The 23,751-nt window shown below is 48.2% G+C and overlaps 1 non-coding gene across 1 annotated transcript, besides 12 other annotated features; it reads right to left on the reverse strand.

The window, feature by feature from the left end:
- Positions 3,860 to 4,159: an enhancer, noted in NCBI's record as "active region_2932". NCBI's record gives its function as "activates an Ori minimal core promoter by ATAC-STARR-seq in GM12878 lymphoblastoid cells {active_cell/tissue: GM12878}" and the evidence as "EXISTENCE:reporter gene assay evidence [ECO:0000049][PMID:35858748]".
- Positions 4,370 to 4,549: an enhancer, noted in NCBI's record as "active region_2933". NCBI's record gives its function as "activates an Ori minimal core promoter by ATAC-STARR-seq in GM12878 lymphoblastoid cells {active_cell/tissue: GM12878}" and the evidence as "EXISTENCE:reporter gene assay evidence [ECO:0000049][PMID:35858748]".
- Positions 4,830 to 4,879: an enhancer, noted in NCBI's record as "active region_2934". NCBI's record gives its function as "activates an Ori minimal core promoter by ATAC-STARR-seq in GM12878 lymphoblastoid cells {active_cell/tissue: GM12878}" and the evidence as "EXISTENCE:reporter gene assay evidence [ECO:0000049][PMID:35858748]".
- Positions 7,826 to 8,125: an enhancer, noted in NCBI's record as "active region_2935". NCBI's record gives its function as "activates an Ori minimal core promoter by ATAC-STARR-seq in GM12878 lymphoblastoid cells {active_cell/tissue: GM12878}" and the evidence as "EXISTENCE:reporter gene assay evidence [ECO:0000049][PMID:35858748]".
- Positions 9,740 to 9,789: an enhancer, noted in NCBI's record as "active region_2936". NCBI's record gives its function as "activates an Ori minimal core promoter by ATAC-STARR-seq in GM12878 lymphoblastoid cells {active_cell/tissue: GM12878}" and the evidence as "EXISTENCE:reporter gene assay evidence [ECO:0000049][PMID:35858748]".
- Positions 9,940 to 10,039: an enhancer, noted in NCBI's record as "active region_2937". NCBI's record gives its function as "activates an Ori minimal core promoter by ATAC-STARR-seq in GM12878 lymphoblastoid cells {active_cell/tissue: GM12878}" and the evidence as "EXISTENCE:reporter gene assay evidence [ECO:0000049][PMID:35858748]".
- Positions 16,138 to 16,187: an enhancer, noted in NCBI's record as "active region_2938". NCBI's record gives its function as "activates an Ori minimal core promoter by ATAC-STARR-seq in GM12878 lymphoblastoid cells {active_cell/tissue: GM12878}" and the evidence as "EXISTENCE:reporter gene assay evidence [ECO:0000049][PMID:35858748]".
- Positions 16,318 to 16,407: an enhancer, noted in NCBI's record as "active region_2939". NCBI's record gives its function as "activates an Ori minimal core promoter by ATAC-STARR-seq in GM12878 lymphoblastoid cells {active_cell/tissue: GM12878}" and the evidence as "EXISTENCE:reporter gene assay evidence [ECO:0000049][PMID:35858748]".
- Positions 16,502 to 16,671: an enhancer, noted in NCBI's record as "experimental_13451 CRE fragment used in MPRA reporter constructs". NCBI's record gives its function as "activates a minimal promoter by MPRAs in K562 erythroleukemia cells, with activity observed for both the introgressed and non-introgressed 10:5894714 or rs146468944 variant alleles {active_cell/tissue: K562}" and the evidence as "EXISTENCE:reporter gene assay evidence [ECO:0000049][PMID:34662402]".
- Position 16,587: a transcriptional cis regulatory region, noted in NCBI's record as "Neanderthal adaptively introgressed variant 10:5894714 (GRCh37/hg19 assembly coordinates) or rs146468944 in the experimental_13451 CRE". NCBI's record gives its function as "modulates activity of the experimental_13451 enhancer by MPRAs in K562 erythroleukemia cells {active_cell/tissue: K562}" and the evidence as "EXISTENCE:reporter gene assay evidence [ECO:0000049][PMID:34662402]".
- Positions 16,928 to 16,987: an enhancer, noted in NCBI's record as "active region_2940". NCBI's record gives its function as "activates an Ori minimal core promoter by ATAC-STARR-seq in GM12878 lymphoblastoid cells {active_cell/tissue: GM12878}" and the evidence as "EXISTENCE:reporter gene assay evidence [ECO:0000049][PMID:35858748]".
- Positions 17,468 to 17,668: a silencer, noted in NCBI's record as "peak856 fragment used in MPRA reporter construct". NCBI's record gives its function as "represses an SCP1 promoter by STARR-seq MPRAs in K562 erythroleukemia cells {active_cell/tissue: K562}" and the evidence as "EXISTENCE:reporter gene assay evidence [ECO:0000049][PMID:32103011]".
- On the reverse strand, positions 17,547 to 17,619 carry TRV-TAC3-1 (tRNA-Val (anticodon TAC) 3-1). Its single transcript has one exon. It is a non-coding gene; the product is annotated as a tRNA-Val (tRNA).

Genomic DNA, 23,751 nt, shown 5'->3' on the forward strand with positions numbered 1-23,751 from the left:
CTCAAATTATCCTCCTGCCTCAGCCCCCTGAGTATCTGGCACCACAAGTGTGCACCACCATGCCCGGCTAATTTTTAAATTTTGTGTGGAAACGGAGTCTCACCATGTTGCCCAAGGTGGTCTCAAACTCCTGGGTTTACCCAATCCTCCCACCTCAGCCTCTGGAGTAGTTGGGATTACAGGCACACACCCCTATGCCCAGGTAATTTTTAAAATATTTTGCAGAGACAGGGTTGGTCTGGTCTAGTCTGGTCTGGAACTCCTGGGCTCAAGCAATCCTCCTGCCTCAGCCTCTCAAAGTGCTGGGATTACAGGTATGAGCCACCACACCCAGCCTCTAGAGGTTTTTGTTGTTGTTGTTTGTTTGTTTTTGAGATGGAGTCTTGCTCTGTCACCCAGGCTGGAGTGCAGTGGTGCAGTCTTGGCTCACTGCAACCTCCACCTCCCAGGTTCAAGTAATTCTCTGCCTTAGCCTCCCAAGTAGCTGGGATTACAGGCACCCACCACCATGCCTGGCTAATTTTTTTTTCTTTTCGTATTTTTAGTAGAGATGGGGTTTCGCCATCTTGGCCAGACTGGTCTTGAACTCCTGACCTCGTGATCCACCCAGCTCGGCCTCCCAAAGTGCTGGGATTACAGGCGTGAGCCACCGTGCCTGGCTTTTTTTTGTTGTTTTGTTTTAATAACAAGACTTTATTTATTTAGGGATTATTTATATTCAATAAAATGCATAAATCTCGAATATTCATTTTGATGAGTTTTGATAATTTTTTTTTTTTTTGAGACAGAGTCTTGCTCTGTCACCCAGGCTGGAGTGCAGTAGTGTGATCTTGGCCTACTGCAACCTCTGCCTCCCAGGTTCAAGCGATTCTCTTGCCTCAGCCTCCTGAGTAGCTGGGATTACAGGCATGCGCCACTACATCTGGCTATTTTTTGTATTTTTAGTAGAGATGGGGTTTCACCGTGTTAGCCAGGCTGGTCTCGAACTCCTGTCCTCAGGCAATCTGCCCGCCTCAGCCTCCCAACGTGCTGGGATTACAGGAGTGAGAGTTTTGATCATTATTGTATACACCCTTGTATCCTGCAGCCTAAACAAGATACAGAGCATTTCTACCACCCCAGAGAATTCCTTATCTTTTTATAATATGTCGCTTTTGGCATCTGGCTTCTTCCACTTAATTTTTTTTTTTTTTTTTTGAGACAGAGTGTCACTCTGTCACCCAGCCTGAAGTGCAGTGGTAGGATCTCGGCTCACTGCAACCTCTGCCTCCCAGGTTCAAGTGATTCTCCTGCCTCAGCCTCCCGAGTAGCTGGGATTACAGGCATGCACCACCATGCCCAGCTAAATTTTTGTATTTTTAGTAGAGACAGGGTTTCACCATGTTGGCCAGGCTGGTCTCCAACTCCTGACCTCAGGTGATCCACCTTGGCTTCCCAAAATGCTGGGATTACAGGCGTGAGCCACTGAGCCTGGTCTGTTTTTTGTTGTTGTTGTTGTTTGTTTGTTTGTTTGTTTAACAAAGGCCCAGGCCCTGCTCTTAAGGAACTCCCTGTCTAGTGGAGGAGGGAAGCATTTGAAAAATCAGAATGTGGTAAAAACAGCTGAAGCCTATGAGCTCATTCATATATAAAGAGCTCCTACAGGCCAGGCGCAGTGGCTCACACTGTAATCCCAGCACTTTGGGAGGCCGAGGCGGGCAGATCACTTGAGGTCAGGAGTTCAAGACCAACCTGGCTGACATGGTGAAAAAAAAAAAATACAAAAAAATTAGCCAGATGTGGTGGTAGGCACCTGTAGTCCCAGCTACTCGGGAGGCTGAGGCAGGAGAATCACTTGACCCCAGGAGGTGGAGGTTGCAGTGAGCTGAGATCACGCCACTACACTCCAGCCTGGGCCACAGAGTGACTCCGTCTCAAAAAAAAAAAGCTCTTACAACTCAACAACAAAAAAACGAACAATCCAACTAAAAACTGCGCAAAGAACTTGAGTGGACATTTCTCAAAAAAGATATACCAATGGCCAACAAGCACATGAAAAGATGCTCAGGCTGGCTGCAGTGGCTCACACCTGTAATCCCAGCACTGAGAGGATGGGGTGGCAGATGGCTAGAGCCCAGGAGTTTGAGACCAGCCTGGGCAACATGATGAAACCCTGTTTCTACAAAAATTACAAAAAATTAGCCAGGCATGGTGGCATATGCCTGCAGTCCCAACTACTTGTGGGGCTGAGGTGAGAGGATCCCCAGAGCTCGGGAGGTCAAGGCTGCAGTGAACCGTGATCACACCGCTGCACTCCAGCTTGGGGGACAGAGCAAGACCCTGTCTCAAAACAAACAAACAAACAAACAAAATCATCCTATGATCCAGCATCCCACTCCTAAAGAATTAAAAGCAGGGACTCAAACAGATACTGTGCACCAATGTTCATAGCAACACTGTCAACAGAAACCAAAAGGAAAACAAGCCAAATGTGCATCCGCAGATGAGCGAAGAAACAAAGTGTGTCCATCCATACAATGAAATAGGATTCAGTTATAAAAGGGAATCGAGGCTGGGCGCGGTGGCTCACACCTGTAATCCCAGCACTTTGGGAGGCCGAGGTGGCCGGATCACGGGGTCAGAGATCAAGGCCATCCTGGCTAACAGAGTGAAACCCCGTCTCTATTAAAAATACAAAAAATTAGCCGGGCATGGTGGCGGGCGCCTGTAGTCCCAGCTACTCGGGAGGCTGAGGCAGAAGAATGGCGTGAACCCGGGAGGCGGAGCTTGCAGTGAGCCAAGATCGCGCCACTGCACTCTAGCCTGGGTGACAGAGCGAGACTCTGATAAAAAAAGAAAAAAAGGGAATCGAGCATTAAAGTATGCTACATCATGGATGAACCTTTGCAATATTAAAATAACAGAAGCCAGACACAAAAGGTCACATATTGTGTGATTCCATTGATATGAAATGTACGGGATAATTAAATCCATAGAGACAGAAAGCAACTTGGTGGATGTCACAGGGACCTTTGTTTGAATCCCAACTTTGCCATTTATTGGTGGTCTAACCTTGAGCAGGGCATTTAACCTCTCAAGATTCCAGTTTGTTCATCTGGAGAATGGGGATGACCGTCAAGCCCACCTCAGCAGGGCATCGTATGGGAACTCTGAGCTTGGACCCGCTCAGCAGTGTTTTTTTTTTTCTTTTTGAGACGGAGTCTCGCTTTGTCACCCAAGCTGGAGTGCAGTGGCACAATCTCGGCTCACTGCAACCTCTGCCTCCTGGGTTCAAGTGATTCTCCTGCCTCAGCCTCCTGAGTAGCTGGGATTAAAGGCGTGCACCACCACGCCTGGCTAATTTTTGTATTTTTAGTACCGACTGAGTTTCACCATGTTGGCCAGGCTGGTCTTGAACCCCTGACCCTCCTCGGCCTCCTAAAGTGTTGGGATTACAGGCGTGAGCCACGGCGCCCGGCCCCTGCTTAGCACTTCTGTCATAGGCTCCTGTAACACGTGCCATTTCCAGTTGTTTTGTATCTGGATGTCACGTTAGACTGGACCCCATGTTGGCAGGGACTGCAACCGCTGTGTTGACCACTGTGCTTCTGCCCTGAGCACAGTCCCTGGCACGTTGCCGTCACAGTCTGGGAGGGGAGAATGAAGAGTGACTGCACATGGGTGCGGGGTTGTATTTGGGGTGAGGAGAACACTTTGGAGCTAGATAGCGGTGGTGCCTGCAGAACAGTGAATGTTTTAAATGCCACTGAATTATTCCTTTTATTTATTTATTTATTTTAGTTTTTTTTTGAGACAGGGCCTCTCTCTGTCACCCAGGCTGGGAGTGCAGTGGGACAATCATAGCTCATTGCAGCCTCAACCCCCACCAGGCTTAAGCCATCCTCCCACCTCAGCCTCCGGAGTAGCTGGGAACACAGGTGCACACTACCATGCCCGGCTAATTTTGTTTTTCTTTTTTCGGGGACAGGGTCTCACTATGTTGTCCAGGCTGGTCTCGAACTCCTGGGCTCAAACGATCCTCCCACCTCGGTCTCCCAAAGTGCTGGGATTACAGGTGTGAGCCACTGCACCCGGCCCGAATTTTTCACTTTAAATGGTTCATTTTACGTTACTTGAATTTCACCTCGATAAAAAAACAACAAGGCATCTGAAGTTGTCCACAGGCTTCACACAGCACGTGGAAAGGCGGGCCGGGGTGACTCACCCCTCTGGGGGTCAGGAACGCCGTTCTGGATAACTCGCATCCCCCTGGGGATGTGAGTCTGAGCTGCCCCGGCGAGCGCAGCTGTGTGCAGGGCCCGCAGTTCCTGTTTCCGTCGAGCCTACAGCCCAGAGAAGCGTGTGCTTCTCCCCACGGAGGTGGGTCTCCGTTTCAGGGTCAGACCTGAAAGCATCGGTTGCGTTTGCTGGAGTTGTTGTCAGCATGTTTGCCGCTTTGATTTAGAGGCCGGGATAAAGGGCGATTATCAAAGGACTGCATGTTCCCGGCATGGCCACGATGGGCCCCGGCAGTGTCCCTGGAGGCAGCAAGCTCACTGGACAGGAACAGAGGTGCCATTGTGTGTGGCTAAAGCAGCTAGAAAGTCAGTGCTTCTCTGCTGCACTGTGAGGCGGGAAGAAGATGTATTTCCACCTCGCGGGGCACCTCGTGTCCTGTCTGGGGGGTCTGTGGGCACCAGTGTCCACCCAGGTCCTGCTGCAGAAAGTGGGGAGGCCAGTGGCTCTGGGGCCCTCATTTGGATTTTTTGAGAATTCGTGCCTCCACGCTTTGTCCAAAGCTCTCCTGAAAACCCCTTCGAAAGTCAGGCACAGCCTAGTGAAGGTGCTGTTCCCACGGTTCATGTCATGTGGCCCTGGAAGGTCTCACTCGCTGCAGGTGACCGGGGGGCAGGAGGACATACAGAAAGGCTTCAGCCCACGACTGCCCTGGTGACGCGGGTCATGTCCTCACCCTCACGCCCCCTCATTGCCCCTTTATTTCTGGCATTTCCTTCCTCGGTGGGAGGCCCCCTCTCTGGTGCTGCAAATAAACACCAGACCCCGCCCATCAATCACACCTCTTCAGTGACACAATGACACCCTTTCTGTGCATCAGTGCCCTGTGCTGTCAGAGTCTCGTGACACAGATTCAAACTATTTGGGGATTCTATTTTGGCCAAGCACTGGCCAGTTATTTAACAGGTATGGATTATTTTAACCTTTGTAATTACTGCATAAAGCAGGTGTTACTAAATCCATTGTACGAATAAGGGTACTGACTCAGGTTGGGATTGGCCAAGGCAAGAAGCTGATTAGTGGTGGGGCAGGATTCAAATGTCTGAGTTACTGTTTTTTATACTGTAAGTTCAAAAAACAACAATAACAAAACAAAAACCAAAACAAACAAATAAAAATAAATAAGTAAACTGTAAGTTTAATAAGCTGGCCCTATAAGTAAACCAGTTACTGGAGGCATTCTCCCTCCAGAGCGAAAACAAGAGATTTCTGTGGCAGCTGTCGTATATTTGTAGAGATGGGAGTGATTTGGATAGATTGTTTAACGGTAGGCGCGGGGTCTTCACACAGCCCCTAAATCACCAAATGTGACTGCCTGGTCTACATGCACCAGAAGCTGCTATTTGACAGCTTTACTTAGCGAATGGCTTAATCACGGCATTTCCCCCTCGAATTGATGTAAAGGTGACTCCAAGAGCACAAATTCATTGAAAGTGTTTCTGCCACCATCCCCTTCATGTATACATCAAAGAAAATCAAGAGTAGGATGCCCCTGAGGCCATGGCGTGAGCTGGAATGCTCTTCTCCAACTCATGGTGTTGTCTTCTATATTAGTCTGTTCTCTCATTGCTATGAAGAAATACCTGAGACTGCATAATTTATAGAAAACAAGGTTCAATTGGCTCACGGTTCTGCAGGCTGTACAGGTCGCATAGCACCGGCAACAGCTTCTGGGGAGGCTTCCGGGGGCTTCCAATCATGGCGGAAGGCGAAGGGGAGCAGGCGACTGACATGGCGGGAGAGGGAGCGGCGGCGGGGGGCGCATTTTTAAACAACCAGATCTCATGACAACTCACTACTGTGAGGGATCCAACCCCACGACCCAAACACTTCCCACCACGGCCCACCTCCAACATTGGGGATTACAATTCAACATGAGATTTGGTGGGGACACAGACCCAAATTATTTCATCTTTTGTGAAGCCCAACCAGATCCCCCATCCCTGACACGAATTGCTCCTTCTCTGGTATTTCTCTCCTCCATTAGACTGTGAGATCCTTGAGCTCCGGCACTATATTTTAGCTATCCTTTTCAGTGCTCTTTCAGCGAGAAAAACATTAAAGAATGAAGAAAGGGAGGAAAGAGGAAAAGCTTCCAGAGGCTTACAATTCATTATTAACAAGATAATGTGGTGCTGGGCGCGGTGGCTCACGCCTGTAATCCCAGCACTTTGGGAGGCCAAGGCGGGCGGATCACGAGGTCAGGAGTTCAAGACCAGCCTGACCAACATGGCGAAACCCCTGTCTCTACTAAAAATACAAAAATTAGCCCAACATTCCTGGCTAACATGGTGAAACCCCGTCTCTACTAAAAATCCAAAAAAAAATTAGCCGGGCGTGGTGGCGAGCGCCTGTAGTCCCAGCTACTCGGGAGGCTGAGGCAGGAGAATGGCGCGAACCCAGGAGGCAGAGCTTGCAGAGAGCCGAGATTGCGCCACTGCACTCCAGCCTGGGCGACAGAGCTAGACTCTGTCTCAAATAAATAAATAAATAAATAAATAAATAAATAAATAAATAACATGGCCGGGCGCAGTGGCCCACACCTGTAATCCCAGCACTTTGGGAGGTTGAGGCAGGCAGATCACTTCAGGTCAGGAGTTCGAGACCAGCTTGGCCAATATAGGGAAACCCCATCCCTACTAAAAATACAAAAATTAGCCTGGCATGTTGGCGAGCACTTGTAGTCCCAGCCTACTTGGGAGGCTGAGGAAGGAGAATCCCTTGACTCCAGGAGGTGGAAGCTGCAGTGAGCCAAGATAGTACCACCGCCCTCTAGCCTGGGTCACAGAGGAAGACTCTGTCTCAAAAACAAACAAAAAAACAAAAAACACAATTAAAAAATAGGCAAAGAATGTGAATAGACATTTCTCCAAGCAAGATATAGAAATGGCCAATGAACTCATGCAGGGATTACAGGCATGAGCTCAGCTGGGCGCAGTGGCTCATGCCTGTAATCCCAGCAATTTGGGAGGCCGAGGTGGGTGGATCACCAGAGGACAGGAGTTCAAGACCAGCCTGGCCAACATGGTGAAACACCCTCTCTACTAAAAATACAAAAGAATTGGCCGGGTATGGCGGTGCGTGCCTGTAGTCTCAGCTACTCAAGAGGCCGAGGCGGGAGAATTGCTTGAACCCAGGAGGCGGAGGCTGCAGTTAGCCAAGATCGCACCACTGCACTCCAGCCTGGGCAACAGAGGGAGACTCTGTCTCAAACAAAACAAAACAAAACAAAAAACTGTAAGTCACTTATTTTAGCTATCTTTTTTGGGTAGTTTTATTTTAAAATCTAAGTCTTGGAACTTGTGATAAAGTTGAGCCTTACATATATTAAATTTTAAACCAGAACTGTATTTAGCTTTGTTTTAGCTTTGAAGAAGTTATCTATCTTTCACCATGGAAAGAGAAGCTGTACTATCAAAATAGCTCCTCCCCGCTCTCTGCTAAGTGAAAATGTGAAATCTCCCAGCTGACTACTTTCACCTGCATAAGTAATAATTTCCTTCTCTCCTTCTCTCTTCTCTCCTTTCTGTGTAGGGGGACAGAAGCCATATATATATATATATATATGCACATACAGTTTAGCTGTGTTTGGTAGTCAGAAAGACTAGTGACTAATTTCAGAGGAGATAAAATAAGAAGCTCTCATATCTTAAAAAAAAAAAGTCAAATGTGAGTCTTGATTGTCCTAGGAAACCCCCATTTTCAGGTCGGTGGTTTCTAATGATCTTCTCATCTTCCACGAAGCTTGGTCCAAAGGAGCCACATCGCTGAGGACTTTTGCTCTTCCCTCTTTGGAGACAGAAGCAAACAAAGAGACTATGATTTCCTTTTTTCTTGAGGGATCACCTTTTACAATATTTGCTCTAAATACATACTCCAAATCATAAACCTGAAACCAGGCACAGTGGCTCATGCCTGTAATCCCCACACTTTGGAAGGCTGAGGCGGGAGGATTCAGTGAGCTCAGGAGTTCAAGACTGTCCTGGGCAACACACGGAAACCCCGTCTCTACTAAAAATCAAAAAAATTAGCCACGTACAGTGGCATGCACCTGTAGTTCCAGCTACTAAGGAGGCTGAAGCAGGTGTATTGCTTGAGCCCCAGAAGTCGAGGATGCAGTGAGCTGTAATTGCACCACTGAACTCCAGCCTGGTCAACAGAGTGAGACACTGTCCCAAAAAAGAAAAATCATACACCTGGTCTAATTTTGATCAAAGGTTTTTTTGAGCCTTACTATAGGAATAGGCATTTCATTTGTTATATAACATATCATCGAAGATCTTTCCTTGCCAATCTGTCCAGGAGGACAATCTGTGTAGTCATTTGCCCTACGGCGACACAGGCAGCCTGAAACGTGCCTGGTGGAAATTCCTACACTACAGAATGGCATTTTGCTGCTTGCTGAAAATAACTTGTAAAGAAGAGCTGGTTCCAGATGTTTGTGGGTGAAACACGTTGAAAGCCATCTCCGAAAGCCTGCAAAATGATTTGCCTGCGAAGTGGACCACTTCGTCTTTGGGTGAAAAGAGGAAATTATTATTTACCCCTAAGGCCTGGGAAGAGTTTTTATTTCAGCTTGTCTCATTTTTGGATGCTGGCAGATGGGAAAAGCCAACAAAATAAATTGGCCGAGGTTGTTGCAATAGGTCACAAAGCTGGGGACATCTGATGGGTGAATTAATGTTACTGTCAGTTGCTTCTCTCTCCCTGACCACTCCTGTCACTTGGAAAAACACGGTAAAGATAAATTAACCCAGGCAGTGCGGAGCTGGCCATGGCCAATTTATAGTCACGTGAGCTCAGGGCCTGCTGCTGGCTCACTGCCATTTCAGCCTCCTTAGTAAGATCTTTTTTTTTTTTTTTTGAGACAGAGTCTCGCTCTGTCACCGAGTCTGGAGTGCACTGGTGTGATCTCGGCTCACTGCAATGTTTGCCTCCCAGGTTCAGGCAATTCTCCCATCTCAGCCTTCTGAGTAGCCGGGACTACAGGTGTGTGCCACCATGCCAGGCTAATTTTTGTATTTTTGATAGAGATGGGGTTACACCATGTTGTCCAGGCTGGTCTTGAACTCCTGAGCTCAGGCCATCCGCCCACCTCGGCCTCCCAAAGTGTTGGGATTATAGGTGTGAGCCACCTCACCCAGACTAGTTCTTTTTTTTTTTTTTTTTCTTTAATGGAGTCTCGCTCTGTGGCCCAGACTGGAGTGCAATGGCGCGATCTCAGCTCACTGCAACCTCCGTCTCCCGGGTTCAAGTGATTCTCCTGCCTCAGCCTCCTGAGTAGCAGGGATTACAGGCACCCATCACCATGCCTGGCTAATTTTTGTATTTTTAGTAGAGACAGGGTTTCACCATGTTGGCCAGGCTGGTCTAGAACTCCTGACCTCAGGTGATCCACCTGTCTCCGCCTCCCAAACTGCTGGGATTACAGGCATGAGCCACCACACCTGGCCTCTTTTTTTTTTTTTTAGACAGGGTCGTGCTCTGTCACTTGGGCTAGAGTGTAGTGACACAGTATCAGCTCAGTGCAACCTCCACCTCCTGGGCTCAAGCAATCCTCCCACCTCAGCCTCCCAAGTAGATGGAACTACAGGCAAGCCCCACACGCCTGGCTAATTTTTGTATTTTTTGCACAGACAGAGTTTCGCCATGTTGTGTAGGCTGGTCTTGAACTCCTGGGCTCAAGCGATCTGCTCGCCTCAGCCTCCCAAAGTGCTGGGATTACAGGTGTGAGCCACCGTGTCTGGCCAGCAAGTTCTTTTGTCATGGCAAAATGAAACCAAGTTGAAAACTGAAAAACAAAGCAGGGGGGAAGTGTGGTCCTTGCTGGTGGATTGTTCATTGTCATTAGCAACCCACTTTTGGTCCAGATTGATATCTGAACAGTAAAAGTGTCTGGTTATTATTGAACGGGTTGCTTTGTGTGCTGGAAAATGTGAGTCAGACCCCGGAGGGGAAATTCAGCCCCACTGAGAAGTCAAGCATGGTGTCAAGCCAATGAGAAAAGGTCAGTAAATTTCTAGACTTTTCTTTCACTGTACTATATTCAGGAAACTGGAATGGGAAGTTAAAATTCCAGCCTAGGCATAATCGTCACTGATATTTAAGAGACAGAAAGAAAATTTCCCAACTCTTTGAAGGAAGCTTTGCAAACACAGCCTGATCTCTTTATGTGGAAATGGTCCAGGTAACAGTGTGGACATTTGGAGAAGGTGACGCTCTGTTTACTAAGAGGGCAGGGGGCCAGGTGTATTTTAGGACCCTCATCTATGTGATCTCAGACAAGTTGCTGAGCTTTGCTGAGCCTCAACTGCATTGGATGGTTTTAGCTCTTAAATCTTTTTTTTTTTTTTTTTTTTTTGAGATGGAGTCTCACTTTGTCATCAAGCTGGAGTGTAGTGGCGCAATCTTGGCTCACTGGAACCTCCGCTTCTGGCCTTTAAGCAATCCTCCTGCCTCAGACTCCTGAGTAGTTGGGACTATAGGCACATGCCACCGCATCTGGCTAATTTTTGTATTTTTAGTAGGGACAGGGTTTCGCCATTTTGGCCAGGCCAGTCTTGAACTCCTGACCTCAGGTGATCCACTCACCTTGGCCTCCCAAAGTGCTGGGATTACAGCCATGAGCCACCTCGCCCGGCCTAGGTCTTAAATCTAAGATATAAAACAATCTGATACTATGGCTCCATGTTCCTATTGGGTAAACCAGGACTCCCCAGAAAGCCACGGAATTACCTTTAATGACAGATTACAAACAAAATAATACTACAGTAACAACTTGTCATCATGTACCTTCTGTGTGTGCCAGGCTTTCCTCTCACAGCCACATGGCAAGGTAGGTATTGTGACCTTTTTACAAGCAAGAAGATTGAAGGTAAGGGGCTAATCCACCTGGGCTGTGATTTATTTATTTATTATTATTTTTTGGATACAGGTTCTCACTCCTGTCGCCCCAGGCTGGAATGCAGTGGCACAATCTCAGCTCACTGCAGCCTTGACTTCCTGGGCTCAGGCAATCCTCCCTCCTTAGCCTCCTGAGTAGCTGGGACTACAAGCACGCACCACCATGCCTGGCAAATTTTTTTTTTTTTTTGAAACGGGGTGTTGCTCTGTCACCCAGGCTGGAGTGCAATGGTGTGATCTTGGCTCACTGCAACCTCTGCCTCCCAGGTTCAAGCAATTCTCCTGCCTCAGCCTCCCGAGTAGTTGGGATTACAGGCGCACACCACCATGCCCAGCTAATTTTTGTATTTTTAGTAGAGACAGGGTTTCACCATTTTGGCCAGACTGGTCTCGAACTCCTGACCTCAGGTGATCCCCCCACCTCAGCCTCCCAAAGTGCTGGGATTACAGGTGTGAGCCACCACACCTGGCCTAATTTAAAAATTTTTTGTAGAGACAGGGTCTCATTGTGTTGCCCAGGCTGATCTCGAGTTCCTGGGCTCAAGTGATCCTCCCTACTAGGCCTCCCATAGGATTATAGGCTTGAGCCACCATGATAGGCCACGCTGTGATTTAAACACAGAGCTCTCTGGTGTGGTCCATCCATTCTACCAACCTGTCCTTTACTGCCCAGAGCCCTGTGGCACACAGGAAAATAACATTTCTTTCTTCTTTCTTTTTTTTTTTTTTGAGACAGAGTCTCCCTCTGTCGCCCACACTGGAGTGCAATGGCGGGATCTCAGCTCACTGCAACCTCCGCCTCCCGGATTCAAGCAATTCTACTGCCTCAGCCTCCTGAGTAGCTGGGAATACAGGTGCATGCCACCACGCCCGGCTAATTTTGGTATTTTTAGTAGAGACGGAGTTTCACCATGTTGATCAGGCTGGTCTCGAACTCCTGACCTCGTGATCTGCCCACCTCGGCCTCCCAAAGTGCTGGGATTACAGGCGTGAGCCACCACGCTCGGCCTAGGAAGATGACATTTCTAGGCCCTCCCAGCATCTGGGTGGAGTCACACACCTAGTGTTGCTAATGGAACATGGCCAGAGTTGAGGCCATTGGCAGGCCTGCCCACAGAAGGGCTGTGTGACAGCTCCTGCTGTCTCTTTCCTCAGTTTGTGTGACTGGAAGCCAAGGAGTCCAAGCTGGTGACACTGCACAGCAGAAGGAGCCTGTGTCCTTGAGTTTACCGCTCAGCGGAAAACCATCTTGGTTCAGGGAAAACCCATGAACCAAGAACATCCACGTCAGACATTTCACAGACGAGAAATAAACATTTACTCTGGTAAGTTCCTGAGATTTTGAGGTTGATTCTTTCAGCAATGATTGAGAATCTGGGCTCCAAATTCAGTTTAACTCATTTTTTTTCCTGTGGTCAGCTAAGAAATAGAGTTCATTTATGCCCTTTCAGAAAGAGCCAAATTGCCACATGGATTAGCATCTCATCTAGGGTTGCCAGACTTAGCAAATAAAAATACAAGACAGGCCAGGTGCAGTGGCTCACACCTGTAATCCCCACACTTTGGGAGGCTGAAGTGGGCAGATCACTTGAGGCCAGGGGTTCGAGACCAGTCTGGCCAACACAGTGAAACCCCCATTTCTACTAAAAAACACAAAAATTAGCCAGGCGTGGTGGTGCACGTCTGTAATCCCAGCTACTCAGGAGGCTGAGGCAGGAGAATTGCTTGAACTCAGGAGGTGGAGGATGCAGTGAGCTGAGATTGTGACACTGCACTCCAGCCTGGGTGACAGAACGAGAGCCTGTCTCAAAAAAACGAAAACAAACAACAACAACAAAAATATAAGCCACCTAGTTCAACATGAATTCAGATAAGCCACAAATACTTTTTTAGAATAAATAGGTTTTGTGCAATTATTTGGGACATTACTGATAACAAGAAATAACTCATTGCTTACCTGAAATTCAAACATAACCAGGGGTCTGGCATCTTACTTGGCCAGCCAAGTTTCATGCTATCACATCCACATCTTGACTCTGCTCAGAAAGAGCTGCCCAACTTCTCCACCAATCAACTTCCTTCCATTCCTCAAGTCTTGGCCCTCATTCCACTTTCTCCAGGAAGACTTCCCTTCCAGCCTCGCCTTTCTAGCTCTCTGGTAGTCCTTATCACACTGCACTTGTCTTATGGTGATGCCAGTCTTGCTCTTCTTGTATTATTATTGTTGTTATTAATATTAGAGATAGAGCCTTGTTCTGTCTTCCAGGCTGGAATGCAGTGGTACAATCACAGCTCACTGCAGCCTCGACCTGGGTTCAAGCGATCCCCCCCGCTTCAGTCTCCTGAAGCTGGGACCACAGGTGTGCACCACCATGCCTGGCTGATTTTTTATTTCTTGTAGAGACAGAGTCTCCCTATGTTGCCCAGGCTGGTCTCAAACTCCTGGGTTCAAATAATCTTCTTTGAGCCTCAGCCTCCCAAATTGCTGGGATTACAGGTGTGAGCCATTGTGCCCAGCCCTGGCTCTTCTTGTTTTTGTTTGTTTGTTTTTTGAGATGGAGTTTTGCTCTTGTCACTGGAGTGCAATGGTGTGATATCGGCTCACTGCAACCTCCGCCCCCTGGGTTCAAGCAATTCTCCTGCCTTAGCCTCCCAAGTAGCTGGGATTACAGGCGCCCGTCACCACGCTCGGCTAATTTTTTTGTACTTTTAGTAGAGATGAGGTTTTGCCATGTTGGCCAGGCAGGTCTCAAACTCCTGACCTCAGGTGATCCACCTGCCTCGGCCTCCCAAAGTGCTGGGTGTGAGCCACCACACCCGGCCCTGGCTCTTCTTTCAGAGGTTGATTCTTGAAGGTGAAGACAGACTCTTTGTTCGCTGCTCCTCCCCTGTATCATTCATTCATTCAGCAAACATCCACAGAGGATCTCCTCCACGCCTGGCACACAGCAGGCATGGACACTGCTCTTGGGGACCTTCCAGTTTTGTAGGAAAGGATGCTATTCAAAAACCATATGAACGAATATTGTCAATACCTGGAAGGAATGTTACAGAGTGCTGAGAGAATTTGTCAGGAAGGGCCTGCTTTTATTTGTTGATATTTATTTACTTATGGTAGACATGGGGTCTTGCTATGTTGCCCAGAATGGTCTTGAACTCCTGGGTTCAAACGATCTTCCCACCTCGACCTCCCAAAGTGCCTGGCCTGATTTTTAGTTTTAATCCTTTATTTTTATTTTTATTTTTTTAGAGACAGGGTCTCATTCTGCTGCCCAGGCTGGAGTGAAATGGTGCAATCATAGCTCACTGCAGTGTCGAATTCCTGGGCTGGAGCAATCTTCCCATCTGAGTCTCGAGTAGCTGGAATTACAAACATGTGCCACTACGCATAGCTTTATTTACTGATTTTCTTTTTTATTTACTGATTTTCTTTTCTTTTTTCTTTTTCGAGACAGAGTCTTGCTCTGTCACCCAGGCTGGAGTGCAGTGGCGCGATCGCAGCTCACGGCAAACTCTGCCTCCCAGGTTCAAGCAATTCTGCCTCAGCCTCCTGAGTAGCTGGGATTACAGGCATCTACCACCACAGCCGGCTAATTTTTGTATCCTTTTTTTTTTTTTTTGGAGATGGAGTCTTGCTCTGTCACCCAGGCTGGAGTGCAGTGGCACAATCTCGGCTCACTGCAAGCTCCGCCTCCCGGGTTCATGCCATTCTCTCGCCTCAGCCTCCGGAGCAGCTGGGACTAAGGGCGCCCGCCACCACGCCCGGCTAATTTTTTTGTTCGTTTGTTTTTTAGCAGAGACGGGGTTTCACCGTGTTGGCCAGGATGGTCTCAAACTCCTGACCTCGTGATCCGCCCACCTTGGCCTCCCACAGTGCTGGGATTACAGGCGTGAGCCACCACACCTGGCCTATTTATTGATTTTTTACAACCACTTTATTGAAGTATGAGTGACATACAAATATGCGCATATTTAGTGTATACAGCTTGATGAGTTTGGGGATAAGTATGCACCCGTGAAACCATCACCAAAATCTATGTTAGAAACATACCCATGACCTCCAAAGGATTTCTCCTGCCATCTTTATTATTATTATTATTATTTTATTTATTTATTTATTTTTTTGAGACGGAGTCTTGGTCTGTCGCCCAGGCTGGAGTGCAGTGGTGCCATCTCGGCTCACTGCAAGCTCCTCCTCCCGGGTTCACATCATTCTCCTGCCTCAGCCTCCCGAGTAGCTGGGACTACAGCCACCCGCCAACATGCCCAGCTAATTTTTTTGTATTTTTAGTAGAGACAGGGTTTCACTGTGTTAGCCAGGATGGTCTTGATCTGCTGACCTCGTGATCCGCCTGCCTCGGCCTCCAAAAGTGCTGGGATTACAGGCGTGAGCCACCGCGCCCGACGTATTTTTTATTATTATTGTGATAAAAATACTGCAATGATCAGAATGTTTGTGTTCACAGGTGGAACAATTCATAGGTGGAAACCCTAACTCCCAAGGTGACGGTATTAAGAGGTGGAGCCTTTGGGAGGTGATGAGGTCATGAGAGTGAGGCCCCCATGAATGGGATTCGTGCTTTTTTTTTTTTTTTTTTTTTTTTTTTGAGACAAAGTCTTGCTGTGTCGCCCAGGCTGGAGTGCAATGGTGCAATCTCAGCTCACTGCAACCTCTGCCTCCCGGGTTCAAGCGATTCTCCTGCCTTAGCCTTCCGAGTAGCTGGGACTACAGGCGTGCATCACCGTGCCCAGCTAATTTTTGTATTTTTAGTAGAGATGGAGTTTCACTATATTGGCCAGACTGGTCTCAAACTCTTGACCTCATGATCCGCCCGCCTCGGCCTCCCAAAGTGCTGAGATTACGGGCGTGAGCCCCTGTGCCCTGCCAGGTTTGCTGTTTTTAGATGCCACATATGAGTGAGATCTTACAGTGTTTGTCTCTCTGAGCCTGGCTTGTCTCACCCTAACATCACGTCCTGCAGCTTCATCCACGTTGGCACAAGTGACGTGACAGGATTTCAGGAAGGATTTTTAGAGTGGAATCAGCGATGGTTCCTGTCCAGGGAGAGACATTCAGGCTGTGGCAAGAAGGGCGAATAGGAATCAAACTCATGACAAGTTGAGAAAAGAAATTTCCAGGAAGACACTGAGGTGGAAGGAAATCGGCTTGGTCCGTTTTGTTTGAGGAACTGAAAGGAGGCCTGGGGCGTGAAGAGAGGGTGAGTGAGAGGCGTCTGCGGTGACAGACTGGGCTGTCCCTCTGGCCTCCTTGGCAGTTCTACCCTGAGAAGTAAGAGGCAGGGAGGGGCACAAGCTAATCTGTTTCTAGCTTTCCCAGGCTGCTCTGTGAGAGTCACAGAAAGGGAAGTACAAAAGTAGAAGTAGGCTGGGCACGGTGGCTCACGCCTGTAATCCCAGCACTTTGGGAGGCTGAAGCGGGCGGATCACTTTAGGTCAGGAGTTAAAGACCAGCCTGGCCAACATTGTGACCCCCACCTCTACTAAAAAAAAAAACAAAAATTAGCTGGGCGTGGTGGCAGGTGCTTGTAGTCCCAGCTACTCAGGAGGCTGAGGCAGAAGAGTCGCTTAAACTCAGGAGGTGGAGGTTGCAGTGAGCCGAAATCACACCCCCTACACTCCAGCCTGGTGACAAAGTGAGACTCTGTCTCAAAAACAAAAACAAAAACAAAAGAAAACAAAAAAGTAGGGCCGGGTGTTGTGGCTCACGCCTGTACTCCCAGCACTTTGGGAGGCCGAGGAGGGCAGATTACCTGAGGTCGGGAGTTGGAGACCAGTCTGACCAACATGAAGAAACCACATCTCTACTAAAAACACAAAATTAGCCGGGTGTGGTGGCACATGCCTGGAATCCCAGCTACTCGGGAGGCTGAGGCAGGAGAATCGCTTGAACCCAGGAGGCGGAGGTTGCGGTGAGCTGAGATCACGCCGTTGTACTCCAGCCTGGGTAACAAGAGCAAAACTCTGTCTCAAAAAAAAAAAAAAAAAAAAAAAGTGGAAGTAGCAAGGCCAGTGATGAGGCCATCCCAGTAACTCAGCCAAGGGAAACATGGCAGAGCCCATGTCTGAAAGGTGCTCCCGCATTTCCACTCCCACCTGTTCTTCCAGAACTTTACCACTCCCATCAAGAGGTGGAGTCTACTTCCCTCACCTTGAACCCGGGCGAGACTTTGACTGCCTTGACAAATGGATGTGGCAAAGCGACGTTGCATGACTTTTTTTTTTTTTTTTGAGATGAGTTTCACGCAGTCTCAGCTCACTGCAACCTCTGCCTCTGGGTTCAAGTGATTCTCCTGCCTCAGCCTCCCGAGGAGCTAGGATTACAGGCAGGAAAACAACAGACCACACCATGGTTCCACTGGGGCTTGAACCCAGGACCTTCTGCGTGTAAAGCAGATGTGATAACCACTACACTATGGAACCACAGGCTAGCTGAGTTTCAAAGCTAGACTATGAGGCCATGAGGCTGGGCACAGTGGCTCACACATGTAATCCGAGCACTTTGGGAGGCCAAGGTGGGTAGATCACCTGAGGTCAGGAGTTCGAGACCAGCCTGGGCAACATGGCAAAACTCCGTCTCTACTAAAAATACAAAAAAAATTAGCCAAGCGTGGTGGCATGTGTCTGTAGTTCCAGCTACTTGGAAGGTTGAGGCAGGAGAATTGCTTGAACCAGGGAGGCAGAGGTTGCAGTGAGCTGAGGTCGTGCCACTGCACTCTAGCCCGGGCAACAGAGCGAGACCCTGTCTCAAAAAAATAAATAAATAAATAAATACATAAATAAAGTTAGGCTATGACAGGCAATATGGCCTTGCCTGGCGCTCCCTCCCTCTCTCTCAGCTCACACCAGCCCACATGGAGAGACCGAGGGAGAGGCCCATGTGAGGAGGAACTGAGGTCGTCAGCCAGCAGCATCTGCCAGACATGGGTGATTTCAGCCTTCAAATCTTCCAGCTGCAATCCCCAGTCCCTGGGAGCAGAGACAAGCCATCGCTGCTGGACCCTGTCTGAATTCCTATACATAGAATCCATGAGCATAACAAAGGGCTGCTTTACACGGCTAGATTTGGGGGTAATTTGCTGTGCAGCCACAGTACCTGGAACAAGAGGACAATGGCTGGAGTTGCCTAGTGGCTGTCGGTGGGCTTGTTGAAAGTGGACCTATTTGAGATGCTGAATAGAAATTGAATTAACAAGATGTAGTCATGAAAGGGACAGAAAATGTCTTAATTATAAAAAAATTATAAAGACCCAGCCAGGCGTGATGGCTCATGCCTGTAATGCACTTTGGGAGGCGGAAGCGGGCGGATCACCTGAGGTAGGGAGTTTGAGATCAGCCTGACCAACATGGTGAAACCCCGTCTCTACTGAAAATACAAAATCAGCTGTGCGTGGTGGCGGGCACCTGTAATCCCAGCTACTCAGGAGGCTGAGGCACGAGAATTGCTTGAACCCAGGAGGCAGAGGTTGCAGTGAGCCGAGATTGTGTCATTGCACTCCAACCTGGGCAACAAGAGTGAAACTCCGTCTCAAAAAAAAAAAAAATAAATAAACAAATATAAAGATACAAACCAGGCACGGTGGCTTACGCCTGTAATTCCAGCACTTTGGAAGCTGAGGTGGGTGGATTGCTTGAAGCCAGGAGTTTGAGACCAGCCTGTCCAACATGGTGAAACCCCGTCTCTACTAAAAATACAAAAATTAGCCAGGTGTGGTGGCACACACCTGAGTGTGTGTGTACCAGCTTCTCAGGAGGCGGAGGCATGAGAATGGCTTGAACCCAGGAGGCGGAGGTTGCAGTGAACCGAGGTCATGCCACTGCACTTCCATCCCCAGGGAGGGAAGGAGCAAAAGAAAACTAGGAAAAGGGGCTAAAAATGGTGCTTGTCTCACTGCTTTCTTCAGTTGAGCTCTTCTTGGTCTTGTGCTGGTAACTTGATGATTTTCATTCGCCTTTGACGACTCAGCCCATTAAGCCAAAGAGGCTCACCTGGTGCTACTCAGCCTGGGTGACAGAGGGAGACTATGTCTCAAAAAAAACAAAAAACAAAAAATACAAATAAAGATATGAAGGAAGGCCCAGTTAGAATACATTTTTGAAAATACTTCTTTACATTTTTAATGACGCATGCATTTCATATTGAGAGCTTCATTCTTTCGGTTTAATAATTTGATCCTTGTTAAAATGCAGACAATTGGCTGGGCATGGTGGCTCATATCTTTGGGAGGCTGAGGTGAGCAGATCACTTGAGCCCAGGAGTTTGAGACCAGCCTGGGCAACATGGTGAAACCCTGTCTCTACTAAAAAAAATACAAAAAAATAATTAGCTAGGTGTGGTGGTGCCTGCCTGTGGTCCCAGCTACTTGGGAGCCTGAGGTAGGAAGATCGCTTGAACTCAGGAGTCAGAGGCTGCAGTAAGCCGGGATCACACCCCTGCACTCCAGCCTGACAGTGAAATCCTGTCTCAAAAAAAAAAAAATGCAGACAACTCAAGGATTGATAAAATTTGAAATTTTTTCATTAACACCTTAGCATGAATGAAGACTGAAACCTAGTTTTCTTTTTGATAAAGACAATGGAGGCGTCCAAGGGCTAAGGACATACATCCCCAGGGAGGGAAAGAGAAAGAGAAAAAGTAGGAAAAGGGGCTAAAAATGGTGTTTGTCTCACTGCTTTCTTCAGTTGAGCTCTTCTTGGTCTTGTGCTGCTAACTTGATGATTTTCATTCGCCTTTGACGACTCAGCCCATTAAGCCAAAGAGGCTCACCTGGTGCGACTGTTACTCACAATGGCTCACACGTGTTGGGTGCACGTGCTGGGCCAAGCATCATGCACGCTGTAAGGTATATAGATGTGATTTGGTCAAGGTAGAGACCGAGGCGGATATACAGGCCTGCACGGCTCAGTGAGTTTGGTGCGCAGGCGCACACCTCCGCTTGTTACATAACCTGTTTGTGTAAGTTCATACTTGGCTCTGAGCCACTATTGTCTGTAAAAGGTATAACTGCCCTGCTGACGCCGTACAGGTGCTTTTGAGGCTCAGCTTGGCTCGACATGGCTTGATGTGGTGGGTGCGCTGGCGCCCAGAGAAAGGGAGACAGCCAAAGCTGTCCATCTTGTAGACAGACAGGAGGGAGCCAGGACACAGCTCTGCTTGCTTGTGCCAGAGAAAGAAAGAGTTAAGCTGCTGACCCTGAAGGCAAGGGAGAGCCGGGGGTCACAGGAGCCACAGAGCCAAAGCAAATAGCAGAGATAAAGGTGGACAGGGTGAGAGAGCTAATGTGAGTAAGCTGCTAATAAAAAGCCATTGATGAGAACTGCTGCTGAATAAAACCATATTCACCTGCCTAGGCCCCCTGCACCAAAGCGTTTCTGCTCATCCACCCCACTCACCTTGGACTTCAGCATGGGCTGGACCTGGACCGGGGTCTGACACACACCAACTCGGTTAATCCTCACAGTAAACCTGGGAAGGAGGTGCCATTTTGCCCATCGTTTACCAGGACACTGAGAGGCAGGGAGTGTGACCTGCATGAGGTCACTTGGAGCATCACTGTAGGGGACTAACACCCTACACGGCTATGCGGCCTTGTTCTCTGCTCCGAATGCCATCTTCACAGATTGTTCTCATGTCCCTTACAACTGCGTATCTATAAATAAGTGGATTTGCTCTCTGGTCTCTAAGACTTTAAAAGCTAAGGTTAAGGAGTGTGTGTGTTAGGGGAAGGGTGGGGACAGCAGCAAAGACTTGCACAGATAATTGTCCCCAAATAGTCTCAATGAAGGCACCTCTGATAAGGGCATATGGCAAAGCCCTGAACCATCCCTAAATTTCAATTTTCTTCTAGCAGTCATATGACTGATCTATGGTCAGGAGGATGTGAACAGAAATGATCTACATGCCTTCTGAAAAAAAGGGGGCATGCATAGCCTCCCTTTCATTCTTTTTTCTTTTATATATTTTTTTTATTTTATTTTTTTCGAGACAGGGTCTCACTCTGTCTCCCAGGCTGGAGTGCAGAGATGCAATCTCAGCTCACTGTAATCTCTGCCTCCCGGGTTCAGGCGATTCTCCTGCCTCAACCTCCCAAGTAGCTGGGAGTACAGGTGTGTGCCACCATGCCCAGCTAATTTTTGTTTGTTTGTTTTGAGATGGAGTTTCGCTCTTGTTGCCCAGGCTGGAGTGCAATGGCACGATCTCGGCTCACTGCAACCTCCGCCTCCCAGGTTCAGGAGATTCTCCTGCCTCAGCCTCCCGAGTAGCTGGGACTACAGGCATGTGCCACCATGCCCGGCTAATTTTGTATTTTTAGTAGAGATGGGGTTTTTCCATGTTGGTCAGGCTGCTCTCCAAGTCCCGACCTCAGCTGATCCACCCATCTCACCCTCCCAGAGTGCTGGGATTACAGGCAGGAGCCACGGTGCCCAGCCTAATTTTTGTATTTTTAGTAGAGGCAGGGTTTCACCATGTTGGCCAGGCTGGTCTCGAACTTCTGGCCTCAAGTGATCCACCTGCCTCAGCCTCCCAGAGTGCTGGGATTACAGGTGTGAGCCACTGCGCCTGGCCCTCCCCTTCATTCCTGTTCCCCTCCACAGGTTGGGGAGCAATCTTGGACCACATGGAAAAGGGCAACCTACTCAGGACAGCAGAACAACCAGCAGAAGGAACCGGGGGGCTGACACCTGGGGCTGGTTGAGCTCATCTGTACTTGGCTATGCCCAGACTCTTATGCGGGAAAGAAAATAAACTTTGGTTTAGTCCACTGTTATTTTTTGGTCTTTATTTAGAGACAGGGTCTCACTCAGTCACCTAGGCTGGAGTGCAGTGGTGTGATCATAGCTCACTGCAGCTGTGAACTCCTGGGCTCAAGGCATCCTCCAGCCTCAGCCTCCCAAAGTGCTGGGATTACAGGTGTGAGCCACCCCACCTCCATCTAATATTAAATCACAAAATGGAATTATCTAAGTCTGTATCAGCTGGAAGAGAGGAAAGGATGTGGTAGACCCAAGGCTCTGTGTTCAAGGGACAGGACGAGCCACAAGCTGGATTTTGTTCCTACGTCTTTTGCGTTCATTTACCTTTTAGCTAATCGTGGATTTTCAGCAACACTGGGAAAAATAAAGACCATGCATGTTGTAGGCTGGCACAGGTGGAAGCTCTAGAACTCTGAGAGCTGCTTTAAAGGTACCACATACTGTAATCTAAATAGAAACACCCTATCATATCCAAGGAATCTGTGCCATCCCACTCCCAGCATTGTAGTGAGTGCCTGTGTATGCCTGTATCTACTCACAAGAGCTCTTTTTTTTTAAAGGAGCTATAAAGGAGATTATTTCTGCTGTGCTGTAGTCTGTTTTTTTTTTTACTTGTAAATGTATAACCCAAATTTTGTCATTATTTGAAATTATGTGTAGAGCTAATTTACCCAATATAAAAATGACTCTTACAAATCAACAAGACAAAACAATGGTCAAAAGATGAAGCAAGAACTGGTTTCATTAATGGCCCCAATCAATGGCCTCTGTGTCCAGTCTGTGGGTTCTGCCCCCTACACTAATTCTGGGCATGACCATGCCTTGCTTTGGCCAATGGGATGGAAGCATCTACACAAACAGAGCGGAGACTGGAAAGCACATTTAAGTCTCTTTTCTCTCTTGAATCTCTGCCACTGTCATGAAAAATAAGCCTGGGCTAGCCGAATGGAGAGACCATGGGGAGCAGAGCCAGCTTGATCCACCCAAGGCCATCCTATACCAGCTCAGCAACTCACTGGCTGACGGGACGCAGGAGTGAGCCCAGTTGCGAGCAGCAAAGCCACCCAGATGCCCTACAGACTCCTGTTTCAACCCAGTGAGCTTTGGGGTGGTCTGTCATTTAGTAACAGCTAACTGATACAGGTAAAAATAGGAAAAAGGGCTATAATGGCCAAAAAAACAAATCTAAAGATCTTCAATCTGATTGAGAAATGCCAAGGCCGGGTGTGGTGGCTTATGCCTGTAATCCCAACACTTTTGGAGGCCAAGGTGAAAGGACTGCTTAAGGCCAGGAGTTCGAGACCAGCCTGGCCAACACAGTGAGACCCCCCTATAAAAGTGGAATCTCTACATAAATTTTAAAAATTAGCTGGGCGAGCTGGTGCGTGCTTGTGGTCCCAGCTGCTCAGGAGGCTGAGAAGGGAGGATTGCTTGAGCCTAGGAGGTCGAGGTTGCTTGAGCCTAGGAGGTCAAGGCTGCAGTGAGCTATGGTCACACCACTGCACTCCAGTCTGGGCAACAGAACAGGACCCTGTCTTTAAAAAAAAAAAAAAAAAGAAATGCAAAATTAAAATCATGAGATAGTACATCATGTTAGTGGCCATTAAAAGTGTGATACCGTGGCCAGGCGCAGTGGCTCACGCCTGTAATCCCAGCACTTTGGGAGGCCGAGGCTGGTGGATCACCTGAGGTCAGGAGTTTGAGACCAGCCTGGCCAACATGGTGAAACCCCATCTCTACTAAAATACAAAAATTAGCTGGAAGTGGTGGTGTGCGCCTATAATCCTAGCTACTTGGGAG

Source organism: Homo sapiens, chromosome 10 (genome assembly GCF_000001405.40).
Source record: "Homo sapiens chromosome 10, GRCh38.p14 Primary Assembly".
In the NCBI taxonomy this organism is placed as follows: domain Eukaryota; kingdom Metazoa; phylum Chordata; class Mammalia; order Primates; family Hominidae; genus Homo; species Homo sapiens.